Here is an 18,544-nt window from a genome sequence, read left to right on the forward strand (position 1 = left end):
TGACTTCAAAACCTAGCTCTTCTAGTTCTCAGATGTAAGGCTGTAGTGAAATGCAGAGAACTTCACTTCCAAAATTGTATAATTTTTACTTGTCCTGGGCCTGACTTTTTACATAGGGTCTGATTTCACATGGCTCTGGCACAAGTTTTCTTGACTGAGGAAGGGAGGGGAGAGAGAAATCAGAAGTAGAGATGGACAGTACATCCATTCACTCATTTCAGAAATATTATTTGAGTGTCTGTTAACAGCACTGTGATTAACAAAGGAGCCATGGTAAGGGAGAGACAATATGAAAAAATAGTAGAGTGATAGATGCTATCAGGAAAACAACTAATGGGACAAGCTTAGTCAGGGACATCCTTTCCAAGGAGTCATTAAGCTGAAGACTGATGATAACAACCCCAGATAAAGGAGTAGGAGGGGAGAGAGGTTCCAGGCTTGGGAAAACTAGCAAACTATGCACGTGTTTGTTAAAGGATTCCATGGTACTAGAAATTGAAGTTATAAATAATTCCTATGGTTCTTACTGTCTCAGGGTCTCCTTAAATATCAAAATGAGTTTGTAAAGTCTAGTGTTACCTTATTTGAACTTCAGGGCAAATGACTAAAAGGGACAAACCTAGAATAGCAGGTTTTAATCAGTTAGCATATTTTCCACTGTAGGTATCAGAAGACTCAACTACAAGGAGATTCGATGCACAGGGTTTACTGACTTATGAAACAAGTCTGGGGTAGGGTAGTTCCATGGTAGGTTAAGACAGTGCCCCCAAAACATTATCAGGGCCCAGGTATTCTCCATCTTTTCAGTCTATCATCATTGGCACATATGGGTTCTCCTCTTACAGTTATGGAGTGAACAATGCCGCTTTTGACATTGCATTTCTGACACAGTGATATCCAGTGAAAGAAGAGGGGCATTTCTTCCTTCTGTTTCTTTTCAGAGATGAGAGAATTTTAACTAGAGCACCTCCACCCTCTGACTACCCCCCACTCCTCCAGTCTCATTGGCCCAGGCTATATCGCATGCCTTTGGCCAAACTAATCACTCTCGAGGGGATTGAGACCATTTAAATTGGCGTACATTAATTACCCCCTGAGTCTGGGGAGGGGGATCACATTTCTATAAGCACATTGAAGGGTGAACACTCAGCAAAATTAGGAAAAAATTCAGCAAGGAAACAAAGGGGAGTGGCCAAGAGGAAAGAACAGCTGTTGGGAAGACCAGGAGCACAGGCCTCAGGAGTGCATGGCATCATGACTTAGGAGGGACGGTGGCAGAGTCTTTACAGGATCCTCAGAGTTTCTGCTGCATACTTAGTGACTGTTTTGTTCCCAGCACTGGTGGGTGAAACCGTGAACCCAGTGTTTAGGTACATTCTTAGCCTTACTTGTGCTTTCTACTGTATCAGTGAAGTGACATGAGGCACACAGTGCCTTGACGCTTTGGCAGTAAAGTTTTGTTTGTTTGCTTTATTTTGTGTGTGTGTGTGTGTGTGTGTGTGTGGTTTTTTTTTTTTTTTAGACGGAGTCTTGCTCTGTCGCCCAGGCTGGAGTGCAGTGGTGCGACCTCGGCTCACTGCAACCTCTGCCTCCAGTGTTCAAGCAATTCTCATACCCCAACCTCCCAAGTAGCTGGGACTACAGGCGCCCACCACCACACCCAGCTAATTTTTGTATTTTTAGTAGAGACGGGGTTTTACCATGTTGGCCAAGCTGGTCTCCAACTCCTGACCTCAGGGGATTCACCCACCTTGGTCTCCCAAAGTGCTGGGAATACAGGCGTGAGCCACCACACCCGGCCTGCAGTCAACTTTTTAAACTTTGAAATATCTTATCATGAACTATGTAATATAAATAAGGAAGTATATACAATTTATACGTATACCTCAATAAAATGAAATTCTTATCCATTTCTAGTACCTTTGAAGCCCCCATTTGACCCTCCCCAATTGCATCCACTACTCTCCCTGAGAGGTAACTGCTACCCTGAATTTCTGAGTTAATGATTCTCTTCTCTTCATGGTTTTACCATGTATGTATGCTCCCCTCAGTTTCTTTCTAAAACTTTTGCATGTAACACCTAGAGAACTTGTTAAAACACAGATTGCTGGGCCCCAACTCTGAATTTGTGATTCAGTAGGTCTGGAGTGATGCCAAAAATCTGCATTTCTAACAACTTCAGGTCATGCTAATGCTGCTGGTCCAGGGACCACACCTTGAGAACCACTGCTGTAGCAGGGGGCTGTTTTGCTTTTGCCTGTTTATAAATACAAGTATATCATATATATTCTTCTGTGACTTGCTTTTTTTCACCGGAACTTTGTTTTTGAAGTTCAGCTTTGTTGATATGGGTAGCGATAGGTCAATTCATTTCCCCATTGCTTAGTATTCTATTTCTCATTAATTTTTGTCCACTGCCCTATGAGGGAAGAGGAAGAAAAATAGGAAGCAACTTGCTTAAGGCACCAACAGAAGTGATTCTGTACCCCTCAAGCATCCAGCACCAATGACCCTTGGCTCACACAGCTCAGGTCATTGTTGCTGCCTTTGGAAGGAAAGAGGCAGTGAGATATCACCTGTCCTAAGAGCCCTGGCCTCACCAGAAGTTCAGGAGGCTTTGAGACACCAGGCACAGCAGGACCTGCAGACCTCCCAGAGCCCTCTTGTATAAAATAGACCTCAAATAACATTGGCCTACCCTAATCAAATCAGGATATAAGGGGATGGAAGGGAAGGTAACAAACTTAATATTGATTTCAAATGGGCTAGGCACTATTGTTGAATAATGATTACAAAGCACTAGAAGACTGAATAAAAGTATGATAAAAATACGTTCTCTTTCAACCTCTCAACATTCATATGTGGTATATATTTTTTTAAAACTTGCCCAAGGTCACAAACTTAATACGAGATAGAGTCAGATTTTAAACCTAGCTCTACTTATAAATCATATCATTCTTTCACTTTATGCTGCCGCCTCGCTAAGACTTAAATGTAGGCCTTCCCCATCCTTGGCATCTACCTACCCACTAAGGCATACTCCCCTAATGTATGTGAACCTTCTCTGAAACCTGGATCCAATTAGTGTTACCTGAACCAGCTTTCATGGTTCTTTCCATCATAGTTGCAACAGATGTAGCATAAAAAATAGTGGGAGTGACATGCTGATACCTTGCACTGTCTTTGTTGGACTTGAACGTTTGACTTGGATTTATATGCCTGACAACTAACTATACTGCCTTGTGTTTTTATCCTGCAGAGGATTTCCAAAGAAGGCCAGTAGAACTGCTAGAATAGCCTCCGATGAGGAAATTCAAGGCACAAAGGATGCTGTTATTCAAGACCTGGAACGAAAACTTCGCTTCAAGGAGGACCTCCTGAACAATGGCCAGCCGGTACTGATAGATTTGGGACCTGGACTTGGAATGTTAGCTACCCACATACCTTTCTTCCTTTCTCTAAGACTTAGGTTCTTGATATTTGTCCACAACATCATCATTATTATTATTATTATTTTTGAGACAGGGTCACACTTTGTCACCCATGCTGGAGTGCAATGGTGTCATCACAGCTCACTGCATCCTTGACCTCCCAGGCTCAAACAATCCTGTGACCTCAACCTCCTGGGTAGCTGGAACCACAGGCACATGCCACCATGCCTGGCTAATTTTTTATTTTTGTAAAGACAGAGTCTCCCTATGTTGCTTAGGCTGGTTTCAAACTCCAGAGCTCAGGCGATCTGCCCGCCTTGGCCTCCCAAAGTGCTGGAATTACAGATGTGAGCCACTGCACACAGCCACATTATTTTATTACCCTTGAATCTCAACATTTCTCTTGATATTAGGATTTGAATCCAAAGACAAAAGAGAAAACGAAAGGCCTTCCTTCTATTCAGTCTTCACTGCTTTCTCCTATGCAAAAAACCTTTCTAAGAGTGAAGAGAGTAAGTGGGAAAGAAAGGAAGAAGGAAGGGCAGATATCTGGTTGGGAGAGGAACAAATGAGCAATGCCAATGGTATTAAAAAAAAAAAAAAAGGAACACAGGGATTCCATTCTGGCTGATAGGGTTGGGGAGGGATGGAGAAGGTGCGCTTTGGAATGGTTTGTATCTACCCAGAAACAGCGAACTGCAATGAAAGTATCAAAAAGAGAATTTGTTTTCCATGGTATGTACTACTTACACACGCACACAAATCTACTAGAGAAACCATTGGGGAAGTTCTGTTCTTTTCTCCCAGACTACTACTAGATATTAATTCAGCATCTGAAAGAGTAAAGGCTGTTCCAAAATCTTGTTCTGGTTTGTTAGAGCAAGATAACTAAACTGTAGGAAAAAATAATTATTTTACAGCTGCAGAACTGTAGAGTACCTAAATAGATTTGGTAAAATATATAGATAAGATGTTTTCTCCACTGGATTTAAGTCTTTCCTCATCAGTTTTTGTTTGTTTTTTCATCTCTTTTGTTGATGCTATCCTTTTAAAATACTCTTTTCTTTTTAAAATACTATTTCCAGAATATTTTAAGGGGATGGGAAAAGCAAATCTAGAAAATAAGACTTACCAGGTAAAGGAGAGGAACCTTCTGTAGCTTTATTAAGGAATTGTCACTGGAAAAATTTGCCTGGCTCTTAAGTACAAGACAAGGATCTTTTTGTATAAAATCTCCCTTTCAGACACCTTTTTCAGAGTAGAAAGCTCTCTATAATTATGTTTTCTGAGAATTTTAATTATCAAACATTGATAAGTAAAACTGTGAGAACAGACCACACTTGAAAGCTGGAGAGCAGAGGAGGGGTGCTGAATGCTGATTTTAGTTTATTAGGGTATCTTAATCTGATTAAGAAAGATTAAAATTTCAATGAAGTTTTGTGTTAGTTACTCATTTCACTGAGTATAGAAGATTTTCACAAGAGGAAAATATTTTCTCCCTGAAATAAGTGATTGCATGTGTAAATGTACATACTCTGGAAGTTTTCCCTGGCTCTGTCAACTAAATCTTTTAAAAGATTAAAATAAATACATATGGGAACTTTTTCAAGCCAGGTAAGGCATCACTCCAGCTTTTTTTTTTTTCTTTTTGGCTGTCTATGTCAATGTTCCTTATGAACTAAGATTCTCTTGGTTAAGGTAAGACTTCCTTAAGCTATTGGTCAACCCACATTATATATATTGTATGTATATTTATATTCATCTGTTTAGCAGTGAATAACATTCACAGTAAGTTCCACAGGTATCCACACTTGAGAGCTTAAAATGACAAGTAAGGTTTCCCTTTTTAGAAAATGGGATTCTCAACCAACTTTTTCCTAATATTATATATCATTCTCTTTCTTATCTTTGGTGTCTGTAGACACGGGCTTTTATAGCCAGATGGCATAGTGACTTAGAAAAAAAACTGTGAAGTATATTTGGCTTCTAGTGGTAGCAGGTGCATTCTGGTGAAGGAATAGATATGAAATTGATATTTCTGCTTATAAGGAACAGAGTGAAAATCACTCCAGGCCTGCCTTTGATGTGTTACAATTCTCCGTGAAAAGATTAGGGAAGCTTTTTAAGAGATCAGGTATTTAAGACTCTCTTTGAAAATTGAATTCACTGATTTTTTAATAGGTGTGAGAAAATTAATTTAATAACATAGTGGACTCAGATGCTTCATGCCGCCCTCAGACTCCTACCTCTGCCTCTTCTTGTCCTCTGACCTTTCTTTATTAAGTGAAATAATTTGAACTGCAGGACTATTTGTCATTTGGCACTTGACTTGTTTCACTTCCCGGTTTCAGCTGGGATTGAGATCAGCAATTACTGGAAATTGTAAATTTACCCAACATATTTTCCTGATTAGAGAGCTTCCAATCAAATTTGCATTTATATTTAGAAGTTTGGAAGTTTATCTGAAATAATTTCTGTACATTTTTTAGATTCTGCCTTACCAATTATTCTCTATTTCTAATCAAACACTTGCTTATAAAATGCTCCCGATGAGGCAGGTGGTATCTGAAAGTTCCTTCCAAACCTGTAAGTCTAAGGCACTTTAGAATGAGTATTCAAGAGCAGGTATCACCCCAACAGTCACACAAAAATGCCGGCATTTCTTATGTATAAGAATGGCATAGGTAAAACGGTTTGGGCCAATTCCAAAGTGCTAGCTGCGAGATGCAAGAACACTACCACTTTCTTTGCCTGATGGGCAAGCAGTCTGCTTCTGGGTCAAGTCAATTGAGGCTGTTAGCTTTGGCAAGTGTCTTGTGTAATCCTGTTGCTAATTCAGCCATGTGCATCATTCTCTGTGGATTATAATAGTTGCCGCCAATCCCCTACATTACACAGCAGCCTGGGAAATGCTCTTAGAGGTAAGAACCCCATCACTGCCAGCTCATCCACATCTTCCTTTAGCTAAACATTTACTGAGCACATACTGTTAAATGACTGATAGAATTATTTCCATTAGCGATACCTGTTCTTTTTTTAGTCAGTTTATTCTCCTTTTGAGTATCTTTGTTTTTTCTTTCAGTCAGTATTAGAGCTGACTTGGGTGTTCTGAAGCTGATGGATGGCTATAAAAATAACATTTCTTTTAAATTGTATTTTGCTGTTTAAATATCTTTTTTTCCATGTTTTTCATTAAGGACATGACAAATCTTTTCTGTGTGGTTTCTTCCTTGTCGCTTATTGCTCACTTTAAATTTGTGCTGTACCAATTGGTGGCTCTCTGGATTAGGCCATTAGTACTAGAAAGGGAGGTAAAAAGGTAGAACAACTGAAGCAAGAAAAAGAAATATGCAGGTATCTGAAGCTGGAGAGAGAACACTTACAGAAAATCATGAAAGTGTGTTGTTTTTTACTCTTTTTCATAGGGCAGTACATATTTGTGATTTTTTTCTAATTTTGTATTTTTTGTGACTTACGTTGTTTAGAGGTTAACATACGAAGAAAGAATGGCTCGTCGACTGCTAGGTGCTGACAGTGCAACTGTCTTTAATATTCAGGAGCCAGAAGAGGAAACAGCTAATCAGGTACCATGTTGCTCTGGACTTCTTAGGGTAACATTTATTCTGTCCCCCTTTTCCATCTTCCTTATGGATACTGTTCTTGGGATGAGTTCTGTGGAAAGTAGAGGGCAAGTCACAGAAAAGCAGTATTAATATCATCAGTCAACCTCACAGCTAATTTTTATTGAGCACATACTATGTTAAGTGACTGACAGAATTCTTTCCATCAGTGATACCTGTTCTTTTTATTCTTCTTCTTGATTATTCTCCTTTCCAGTACATTTCCATTTTCCTATCCTAAGTTTTATGCAAAATAATTTTGTGTGGAGAAACACATTTTCGCCGACATTGTCTGAAATAACTAGTGAATATTTCCCATTAGAGTTGGACCTTGAACAACACGGGAGTTAGGGGGACCAACCCCAAGCACAGTTAAAAACCCACATATGGCCGGGCACAGTGGCTCATGCCTGTAATTGTAGCACTTTGGGAGGCTGAGGTGGGTGGATCACGAGGTCAGGAGATCGAGACCATCGTGGCCAACATGGTGAAACCCCGTCTCTACTAAAAATACAAAAATTAGCCAGGTGTGGTGACGCACACCTGTAGTCCCAGCTACTCGGGAAGCTGAGGCAGGAGAATTGCTTGAACCCGGGAGGTGGAGGTTGCAGTGAGCTGAGGTTGTACCACTGCACTCCAGCCTGGCAGCAGAGTGAGACTTCGTCTCCAAAACAAAACAAAACTAAAAACACATATACGACTTTTGACTCTTCAAAAACTTAACTAACAGCCTACTGTTGACCAGAAGCCTTACTGATAACAAAGAGTTGATTAACACGTATTCTGTATGTTATATGTATTATAGACTGTAGTCTTAAAGTAAGCTAGAGAAAAGAAAATGTTACAAAGAACATCTTAAGGAATAGAAGATACATTTACAATTCATTAAGTGGAAGTGGGTCATCATAAAGGTCTTCATCCTCATTGTCTTAAATTAGAGTGGTCTGAAGAGAAGAAGACAAGGGGTTGGTCTTGCTTATCTCAGGGGTTGCAGAAGCGGAAGAAAATCCATATATAAGTGGACCCATGCAGTTCAAACCTGTGTTGTTCAAAGATCAACTGTTTAGTCTTAATATCTAGTCAAAATAAAATAGAAAATATTATCTCTTTATCTTCTTTCACATATATACAGATGTTCTTCAACTTAGTATGGGGTTATGTCCTGATAAACTCATTATAAGTTGAAAATATTGTAAGTTGAAAGTGCATTTAAGGCGGGGCGCAGTGGCTTACGCCTGTGATCCCAGCACTTTGGGAGGCCAAGACCGGGTGGATTACCTGAGGTCAGGAGTTCAAGACCAGCCTGACCAACATGGTGAAACCCCGTCTCTACTGAAAATACAAAAATTAGCCGGGTGTGGTGGCGTGCGCCTGTAGTCCCAGCTACGCGGGAGGCTGAGACATGAGAATCGCTTGAACCCAGGAGACAGAGGTTACAGTGAGCCAAGATCGTGCCACTGCACTCCAGCCAGGTGACAGAGCGAGACTCCATCTCAAAAAAAAAAAAAAAAGTGCATTTAATACACCTAACCTACTGAACATCTTAGGTTAGCCTAGTCTATCTTAAATGTGCTCACAACACTTACATTAGCTTACAGTTGGGCAAAATCATCTAACACAAAGCCTATTTAAAATAAAGTATTGAATATCTCATGTGATTTATGGAGTCCTGTACCAAAAGTGAGAAGCAGAATGGTTGTGTGAGTACTCACAGCACCGTTACTACCAAACGCATATTGCTAGCACAAAAGTTTCACTTAAGGAAAATTAGAAATCTTGCTGCATTCTTATTATTTCTATTATTAGTCTTCACATCTTTTTTTCTACCATTACAGGACATTGGTTCTCCTCATGCTTCTGTAGGGAGTCCTCTGGATGGTCAAAAGGTTAAGCTTTTCACCTTTCTTCTCCTTCCAGTCTTTCTCTGTGTCTGTTTTCTTCTGTTCTTCCTGTTTTACGTGTGTTTCTATCTTTTCTGCCATATATTAATTATAAATGCTATGACCAGTGTCTGTTTCATTTAATATCAGATACACAAAATTACTGCAACATGAGTTTTCTTGTCATGTATTTACCAGCTTGAATTTATTTATTTATTTTTACTTTATGTATTTATTTATTTATTTATTTATTTTGAGATGGAGTTTCGCTCTTGTTGCCCAGGCTGGAGTGCAATGGTGTGATCTTGGCTCACTGCAACCTCTGTCTCCTGGGTTCAAGCGATTCTCCTGCCTCAGCCTCCCAAGTAGCTGGGATTACAAGTGCATGCCAACATGCCTGGCTAATTTTGTATTTTTAGCAGAGATGGGGTTTCACCATGTTGGTCAGGCTGGTCTCGAACTTCTGACCTCAGGTGATCCACCCGCCTTGGCTTCCCAAAGCGCTGGGAATACGGCATGAGCCACAGTGCCTGGCCTCTGACTTGAATTTAATTCTGTCATTAGTGGATACTCTGAACATTAAATCAAGAAAAATTTTTCATTTGTTATATATACCTTTCTATGGGGAACAAAAGTGCTAATTCTTCAAGGGATTAATTTGATAGTAATTAGATGAAGCAAAACAACTTGTGGTATAACTCTTGCAGTTTTATTCATACTGTTGTATTTCTTCCCTCAAACCAACAAACTTGTTTTTTAAACACTGAGTAACTTCTTTAAGAGAAAACATAGTTAAAGTTATCTTTCATTTAATATTAAATAGGGAATATTTACATAGACTCCCTTGTCTTCATTGCACTTTTTTGTTTTGGAGACAGGGTCTCACTCTTTTGCCCAGGCTTGAGTGCAGTGGCACAATCACGGCCCACTGCAGCCTCGACTTCCCAGGCTCAAGTGATCCTCCCACCTCAGCCTCCCAAGTAGCTGGGACAACAGGCATGTACCACCATGCCCAGCTACTGTTCTTTTTAAATTTTTTGTAGAGATGGGGTCTCACTTTGTTGCCCAAGCTGGTCTCAAACTCCTGGCCAGAAGCAATCCTCCCACCTCGGCCTTCCAAAGTGTTGGGAATTACAGGCATGAGCCACTGTACCTGGCCTTTAATGCACTTTGTAGGCAAGGAAATTGTAGGATCCACCGTAATCACCACAGGAATGTTGATGGGTTGTTTTTTTTTTTTAAAGCAAAATTTTGGCTAGACTGTCAGTCCTATTTTTTCTTCTAAAGATGGTGGGTTCCTAACAGCTGCAGAGCTGAGGAGGCGGCCCTTGCAAGGCAGGGATTGTTAGAGGTGGGGGAAAAAAAACAAACATTTTTTTTTTTCTATTATTCTTTTACTATTTTTTCTATTACCATTTTTTCTAGTACCATTTTTTCTATTATTCTTTTACTATAATTGTATATAATATGGCAGCTGCTTGCCACATGTACTATGTGGAGAGATGTACCACCCTGCATCAGCTTTTACCCTACAGAAGGAAATCAGCGTTCCATTATATTTTATTGTTATCAACAGTTTAGGAATACATAGCTTTGCTTTTGCCTTTTTCTTTCCTTCCCCTTGTTTCCCCTCGCCTCAGAGAAAAGAAGGAAAAAAAAATTCATCTTTCCTACCCCCCTCTTTTTGGATGATAGGACTTGAAGACAATCTGAAATACCACATAAACTCACTTCCAGATGTTTTTTGTTTCATATGCAATTGAATTGGGCTCAGACTGTGTTTTTAAGCTGTATGGTAAAAATATCACTGTCTTCTAGGGCCTTATTGGGGGGCAGGGAGAGACGTGACACTTTGTCAGAAGGGATTGAGTCTGCTAACTTAAACTTTCCTTGATTCAGGAATACAAAGTCTCCAGCTGTGAACAGAGACTCATCAGTGAAATAGAGTACAGGCTAGAAAGGTCTCCTGTGGATGAATCAGGTGATGAAGTTCAGTATGGAGATGTGCCTGTGGAAAATGGAATGGCACCATTCTTTGAGATGAAGCTGAAACATTACAAGATCTTTGAGGGAATGCCAGTAACTTTCACATGTAGAGTGGCTGGAAATCCAAAGCCAAAGGTGAGCTGGGAGATGGAGGCTTTTTAAGAGTCATTCTCTGAGGAAAGGTTTAGCTTCCAAAACATAGCATGCCAGTAGGAGAAAGAGATACAAATGATCTTTCTCAATACCCACGATATAAAGGGTTTTAAATATTCTTAAGTTCTGGGCCATCTTCAGGAGGCATTAGAAACCAAAAAAGGTGGTGGGGGGAGTGGAGTTTGGGTTTGAAGAATAGAGAATAACTAACAGGGAGCTCTTCACACACCTATATCATTTATTCCTCGTTGTTATTCCCAAATCACAAATAACTAAACTGAGTTCTGTGAAGTGAGTTTCCAAGGTCAGAGAGCTGGTGAGTGGCCAGGCCTGCATATGAACCCAGTGCTCTGTACCATACAGACAAGTAATGCTCACCACTGGTTGTAAAAACTTCCAATCTTTAATCAAAAAACCAAGGCTGCTTATATTAATATTTACAGAGGGAGGTGGGGTGAAGAATATTGTTTAGAACGGATAATGACAAATTCTGATACCATGCAGGACTAGGATGACCTGGATGGGAGCTCTCTCCATACAAACATATGGAAATGCTGGATAAGGAGCTGCCCTATCTTTAAAGGAAGGACTAGAATAACTGTTTACTAGCCCAGCAAGGCAGTAAACAGGAGTACACTTTTCCCTAGAGCTTGAGTGAAAAGAATAAAAAAAAGGGAAAAAATTAAAACCCCTAAACTACACTATCACATGATAGGGAGCCAAAAGCTGAGAAATGTGAAATTTAGTGCTGGATGATTAAAATTCTTAGAAGCAAGCAAAAAGTTGCCTTATATAAAGGTAATAATATGTGAAGAAATAACCATGAGGAGAGTTGTGTTAGGCCGTTTTTGCATAAAGGGATTCCTGAGACTGGGTAATTTATAAAGAAAATAGGTTTTATTGGCCAAGCATGGTGGCTCACGCCTGTAATCCCAGCATTTTGCGAGGCCGAGATGGGTGGATCACCTGAGCTCAGGAGTTCGAGACCAGCCTGGCCAACATGGTGAAACCCCATCTCTACTAAAAATACAAAAATTAGCTGGGCATGGTGGTGGGCGCCTGTAATCTCAGCTACTTGGGAGGCTGAGGCAGGAGAATTGCTGGAACCCAGGAGGTGGAGGTTGCAGTGACCAAGATCGCGCCATTGCACTCCAGCTCAGGGCAACAACAGTGAGACTCCGTCTCAAAAAAAAAAAAAAGAAAAGAAAATAGGCTTTACTGGCTCACAGTTCTGCATGGTATACAGAAGTGTAGTACCAGAATCTTCTCCTGGTGCGGCCTCAGGAAGCTTACAATCATGGTGAAGGCGAAGGCGAAAAAGGTGAATCACACAGCAAGAGTAGGAGCAACAGAGAGAAGTGGTGGAGGTCCCAGACTTTTAAACAACCAGATCTCATGTGAACTAATTGAGCAAGAACTCACTTACCACCAAGGGGATGGTGCTAAACCATTCATGAGGGATCCACCCCATGATCCCGTCACCTCCCGCCAGGCCCCACCTCCAACACTGGGAGTCCCATTTCAGCATGAGATTTGGAGGGGACAGACATCCAAACCATATTAAGAGTCATAGTACAAGAAACAGAAAAACAGAAGGCCAAGTATTGCACAATATTGAACAATCTTAAGTAACCTCTAAAATAACTTTAAAAAGATTGAAACAATTTTAAAAAGAATGGAAACTATAATGAAAGAACAAGATAGTACCAAAAAATACAAATTTATAAAATAAGCATAGAGCAATGTACTCAATGAAATAAAAAGCTTAATAGTGGCATAAAATGAAAGAGGGAAAAGTGATAAAAAAATACCTGACACTTTTAGGTGTTAATTTCCTATAGCTCCATGGCATTGTTTTGTTTTCCCACCATGGCAAGTTTTACCATCATGTTCTTTTCTTAAAACTGAATCGCAACGCCAAAGTCAAAGATCAAAGAAAAGAGCCTTGAATTTTCAAACCCTATATACTTCCTAATAAAATGGGATTTTTAAAATAAACTCCATTGTTATAGAAAACTTTTTACAATATTCTTGGCATAATCTGCATTAACAACTGTGTATTCACAACATGTTATCAAACGCATGTATTAAAAATAAATTTGTAGTTTATGAACGAAATTCAATAAGGAATTATATCTTGAACTTCCAAGATATTCACAAGAAGATTCCATATTACTTTCAAACCTTACACAAGGCTTAAGATCACTGATCAAATTCTAAGATTATTGATTCTTATAGAATACTACATTAACATGAAAGATGGGCTTTTGTTTTTAATATGACTGTACTTTTTTCCTAATATAAATTTAAATGTTTCACAGCTAGAAGGGACTTAATTGTTTAAACTTTTCATTGTTAAATGTTATTCTTTCATCCCTCCTTCCTCTCCCTCAACCTTCATTCTCCTTCTCATTGTTTTCTTCCCTCTCTCATTTATTAAAGGTCTACTTTGGCATATGCCATATAAATTACATTAGGATTGTTAAAGTATGGAATATTCATGTTTAAAGAAATACATGTTTTTTTAGGCTTATGTTTTAAAAATATTTTATTCCTCCCTTGACATGCTTGTTCTAGTTGAGCCATAGGAAGACTGAAAATAATTTCTGATTTACCCTGTTCTCGTGCTTGTGCCCTCCCGAATTTCTCCCTCCATTAGTACGCTTGGTAAAATTTTGGAAATATTTCTTAGATCTTATTTGAAAGTTGTATGCCAAGTATAATGGAGGTGAAAAATATGATTAAAGAAATAACTCAAGAACTGGCATTGTGGCAAGAATGCAAAAGGGAAGAAATTGTATACTTATTACAGCTTCTTTTTTCCATCAGAAATAGTCAACCATAGCCAGGCACAGTGGCTCACACCTGGAATCCCAGCACTTTGGGAGGCTGAGGCAGGCAGATCTCTTGAGGTCAGGAGTTTAAGAACAGCCTGGCCAATATTGTGAAACCCCATCTCTACTAAAAATACAAACATTAGCTGAGCATGGAGGCGCACACCTGTAATCCCAGCTACTCAGGAGGCTGAGGCAAGAGATTCACTTGAACCCGGGAGGCAGAAATTGCAGTGAGCCAAGATCACACCACTGCACTCTCTAGCCTGGGGGACAGAGCTAGACTCATCTAAAAAAAGAAAGTCAACTACTAAAAAGTAAAATAATTATGAAGTATGATACTTTACATAATTTAAGTTTTACAACTCAAAGTTATTAGTCTAGTTGGTGATTACTTTTTAGATTCTAGAGTTTAATACGTAATATAGTTTCTGTAAATTTGGAGCTACCTGAAAAATACGAGTTTGAAAAGTTAGAGCAGTCATATCCTGATAATTCATCCATTTATTTAGTGCTATATATTTCTGGTCTTTTCCTTTCTTAGAATGCAGGTTTCAAAAAGATTTTTCAGATTCAAATACTTTGACAGACAGTTGAATTTGAATGTCAGTTTATGTTACCAATTTACATACTGATTTATATTAAGGAAGAAGTTTGTTTTAACAACTAAAGGGTCTAAAGTATATTTGTTTTGTTAGGAATCAGGAATACTTTTGGCTGCAAGGAACAAAAAATGACAACAAATAACTTGCTGTGGCTTAAAAAAGGAAAGGTTTATTTGCTTATCTAGTAAGTCTGCAGGTGGGGTGATGTAGCTATTAATTCAGCATCTCAGCCATGTTAGGGCTGTTGGCACTGTGATTCATTATGATGGGCCTATCTTTCAACTGTGTTGTTCATAACTTAAATCGAAAATAATAATGAACTTAGCCAGGCATGGTGGCTCACACTTGTAATCCCAGCTACTCTGGAGGCTGAGGCACGAGAATTGTTTGAACCTGGGAGGCGGAGGTTACAGTGAGCCAAGACTGCACCACCGCACTCTGCACTCCAGCCTGGGCAACGGAGCGAGACCCTGTCTCCAAAACAAAACAAAACCTTAGAACTCGGACATCCATGGACAACTGGTTTTGTTTAAAAGTGAGGGAAGGAAGGAGGACCCTTTGGACTACTTAAAAATATTGTATTTAATCAAAATTTACTTTTATTTTTTACATTGTTTCTTTTGAGACAGGGCCTCAGTCACCTAGGCTGGAGTGCAATGGCATGATCATGGCTCACTACAGCCTCAACCTCCTGGGCTCAAGCAATCCTCCTGACTCAGCCTTCCAAATAGCTAGGGCTATAGACATGCACCACCACACCCAGATAATTTTTTTATTTTTTGGGTCTTACTATGTTGCCCAGGCTGGTCTTGAATTCCTGGGCTTGAGCAATCCTCCTCAGCCTCCCAAAGTGCTGGGATTATAGGTAGGCATGAGCCACTGTACCTGGCCCACATTTAATTTTTTATCAACCCAAGTTACATATCTGAAAATTATTATACTTTTCAATACTACTGTGTTTTCTTTAACATAATGGGGATAGGTGACAAACATTTAACCTTTGATCATATGCTTCCTGGCCCAGAAATAAAGCAGTAGTATTCCACCCATCACCAACCCTTAGTCATCACCTCCCTCCCTACCAACCTCTTTTATTTGTCAAACACAATTCAGTGAAATGATTAGAGTTTGGGGTCTGCTTTTGTTCTCCAAAACAACCTTTTTACCTTTATTTTATAAACAATACATTTTAATTGCTGGTACATTTGAAAAAAGAAAAATGGCCTTCATAGAAGGCCACTTCATAGAAATAATGGCATTCTATGAATGCCATGAAGTAATGCCACTTCATAGAAATAATCATTGCCAAAATTCAATATATCCCTTCATATAAATAATATATGAATGTAAGTGCAATATTTTTAAAAACAAAAGGAAGATATATAATTTAAAAACTCAAATAGAATTTAAATTGTTACCTGCCTTTTTTCAGTGAAAAATCAATTCCTTAGTCAGGTATTTGGTTTAACATTTTAACATGAAAACTCAGATCAGCTCTGCAAACCACACTGTTACTATTTTCAGTTCTCCAAATAGAGTAGGAATACACAAACTCCTAATCTTTAATCTTTGTTTCTATTCACAGATCTATTGGTTTAAAGATGGGAAGCAGATCTCTCCAAAGAGTGATCACTACACCATTCAAAGAGATCTCGATGGGACCTGCTCCCTCCATACCACAGCCTCCACCCTAGATGATGATGGGAATTATACAATTATGGCTGCAAACCCTCAGGTAAAGAAGGGTATAGGTCTGGGCTCAGTTCTGTGTCTAGTGCTTACAGGCATTTGATTAGACAAAGGAACTATTTAAAAGGTGAAGTTAAGAAGTTTCTTTGATTTATGAAACTATTTTTCCAAATTCTACATCCATCTTGGTTTCAGAGGATAGAAAAATTCTTTGTTTCATGAATACTTATTTATTCCATCAGGTGTTATTCTACTCCTTCCACAAATATTATTAAGGGTCTAATATGTACACACTTTCTATGTGGGTGATGGGGTTGCAGTGGTAGACTGGACAAAGTCCTATGGTAAAAAATAAGCAATTAACAAATAATATAACTTCAGGTAGGATTACATGAAGAAAATAAAGGAGAAAAAGAGTGAGTGGCATGCATAGGCTGTATAAGAAAAACTCAACAAAGTAAAATATTTTAAAAGAAACACATCAGTGGGATTTAATGTGCAAATGTAGACAAATGATAATTTTGATAGCATTCAGGTTTATCAGTTTTCATCAAAATGTTTTCTCTTGTATTTGCCTTTAGACTTAGGGTCAAAAAATCAGTTGCCTTCTTAGAATTTAATAGGAGGCTGCTGGGTATCATGTTGCCAGTTCGAGCCTGCAAATTCTTTTTTATTATGTTATACATTTTAGTCACTATGCTGGATATAGGGGATACAAAAATGAGTAAAAAGTTATTTTGTACCTTAAGAGCTCAATGTATGACAGGTAGTTTTACTAAAGTCTGCAAAAGTAGTATAAATAACACACTTTTAAAAAGAAAAAAAAAGGCATGGTAAAATGAGCAGTTTTCTCTAGAAGTCATCTTTTTAGAATCTCTGATCTACTTATATCATTCCATATTATTTCTTTTGAAGAAAATATTTAGCATTAGAAACTATATAAATAATTTTAATGACACTACAAACTTTTAATTAAAGTTTCTGGCCCAGGTGCAGTGGCTCACATCTGTAGTCCCAGCACTTTGGGAGGCTGAGGCAGGTGGATTGCCTCAGCCCCGGAGTTTGAGACCAGCCTGGCCAACATGGCGAAACCCTGTCTCTACTAAAAATACAAAAATTAGCCAGGTGTGGTGGTAGGCACCTGTAATCCCAGCTACTCAGGAGGTTGAAGCATGAGAATCACTTGAACCTGGGATGCGGAGGTTTCAGTGAGCCAAGACTGCACCACTGCACTCCAGCCTGGTTGACAGAGTGAGACTTTGTTTTTTGTTTTGTTGGTTTTTTTTTTTTTTTTTTTTTTTTTTTTTTGAGATGGAATCTCACTCTGTCGCCCAGGCTGGAATGCAGTGGCGCGATCTCGGCTCACTGCAAGCTCCGCCTCCTGCGTTCACACCATTCTCCTGCCTCAGCCTCCCTAGTAGCTGGGACTACAGGCACCCACCATGCCCGGCTAATTTTTTTTTATTTTTAGTAGAGATGGGGTTTCACCATGTTAGCCAGGATGGTCTCGATCTCCTGACCTCGTGATCCGCCCGCCTCGGCCTCCCAAAGTGTTAGCATTACAGGTGTGAGGCACTGCACCCGGCCTGAGACTCTGTTTCTAAATAAATAAATAAATAAAGTTTATTCAAGGTTTATTATATTCTAATATTCCATGGTCATATAAATATATTTTTCTGCAATAATATTAAGATCAGAATGAAAACAGATTATCCAGCTAATCAGGTTGTGATAGAGCACAGCAAACTCTTCACTGTTAATGAAAAGCTTCTATATTAATGCACATTCTTAAAGTTCTAAATGTTTTAATCAATGAATACATGACCATCACCCTGAAAAAGTCTAAATCACTATTAAGAAGTTGCATTTTAATGTTTGTGTTCATATTTGATATATATGAAGAAACAAAAGCGGAACTTGCTTTTTTTTCTTTTTTTTTTTTTTTTTTTTCTTTTTTGAGACGGAATCTTGCTCTGTTGCCCAGGCTGGAGTGCAGTGGCATGATCTTAGCCCACTGCAGTCTCCACCTCCTGGGTTCAAGCAATTCTTCTGCCTCAGCACCACCACGCTCAGCTAATTTTTTGTATTTTTAATAGAGACGGGGTTTCACCTCAGGTGATCCACCTGCCTCGGCCTCTTTTTTCCTTATTATATTTTCAGTGCATTTCCTTGACATTAACAAATTCTAGCTTTTAGTTTAGTTTTCTGCCTGTTTAAGAAAATGGTGGAGAACTGACAAAATCCAAAATTTTTCTTCGTGTTGGGTCATTTATTCCTCTTTTGCCCTAGAAAGGCTGGGGTATATTATGGGATGGAATTATCTGTGGTCCTTACGTATTTGCCAAC

The 18,544-nt window shown here is 39.0% G+C and overlaps 2 protein-coding genes across 31 annotated transcripts in view; one reads left to right on the top strand and one right to left on the bottom strand.

Moving 5' to 3' along the window:
* The window catches only part of PALLD (palladin, cytoskeletal associated protein), a 431,390-nt gene that overhangs the window by 390,611 nt on the left and 22,235 nt on the right, over positions 1 to 18,544 (top strand). For 11 of the 27 annotated variants that reach the window (XM_011531769.3, XM_011531774.2, NM_016081.4 and 8 more), the window contains 4 exons: positions 3,260 to 3,395; positions 6,917 to 7,015; positions 10,831 to 11,052; positions 16,095 to 16,244. In XM_011531769.3, coding sequence (XP_011530071.1) covers positions 3,260 to 3,395; positions 6,917 to 7,015; positions 10,831 to 11,052; positions 16,095 to 16,244 — 607 coding nt within the window. Of the gene's footprint in view, positions 1 to 3,259; positions 3,396 to 6,916; positions 7,016 to 8,886; positions 8,938 to 10,830; positions 11,053 to 16,094; positions 16,245 to 18,544 lie in introns of all 27 variants that reach the window. The other 16 variants (XM_011531768.3, XM_011531773.2, NM_001166108.2 and 13 more) reach the window with 3 other exon arrangements.
* The window catches only part of CBR4 (carbonyl reductase 4), a 115,770-nt gene continuing 104,049 nt past the window's right edge, over positions 6,824 to 18,544 (bottom strand). For 2 of the 4 annotated variants that reach the window (XR_007057980.1, XM_005263315.4), the window contains one exon: positions 6,958 to 7,103. Coding sequence is in view for 2 of the 4 variants with exons in the window: in XM_005263315.4 (XP_005263372.1) it covers positions 7,012 to 7,103 (92 nt within the window). In the remaining 2 variants the exon portion in view is untranslated. Of the gene's footprint in view, positions 7,104 to 7,930; positions 8,091 to 18,544 lie in introns of all 4 variants that reach the window. The other 2 variants (XR_001741341.2, XM_017008782.2) reach the window with 2 other exon arrangements.

The sequence above is a fragment of the Homo sapiens genome, chromosome 4, assembly GCF_000001405.40.
Source record: "Homo sapiens chromosome 4, GRCh38.p14 Primary Assembly".
Classification (NCBI taxonomy): domain Eukaryota; kingdom Metazoa; phylum Chordata; class Mammalia; order Primates; family Hominidae; genus Homo; species Homo sapiens.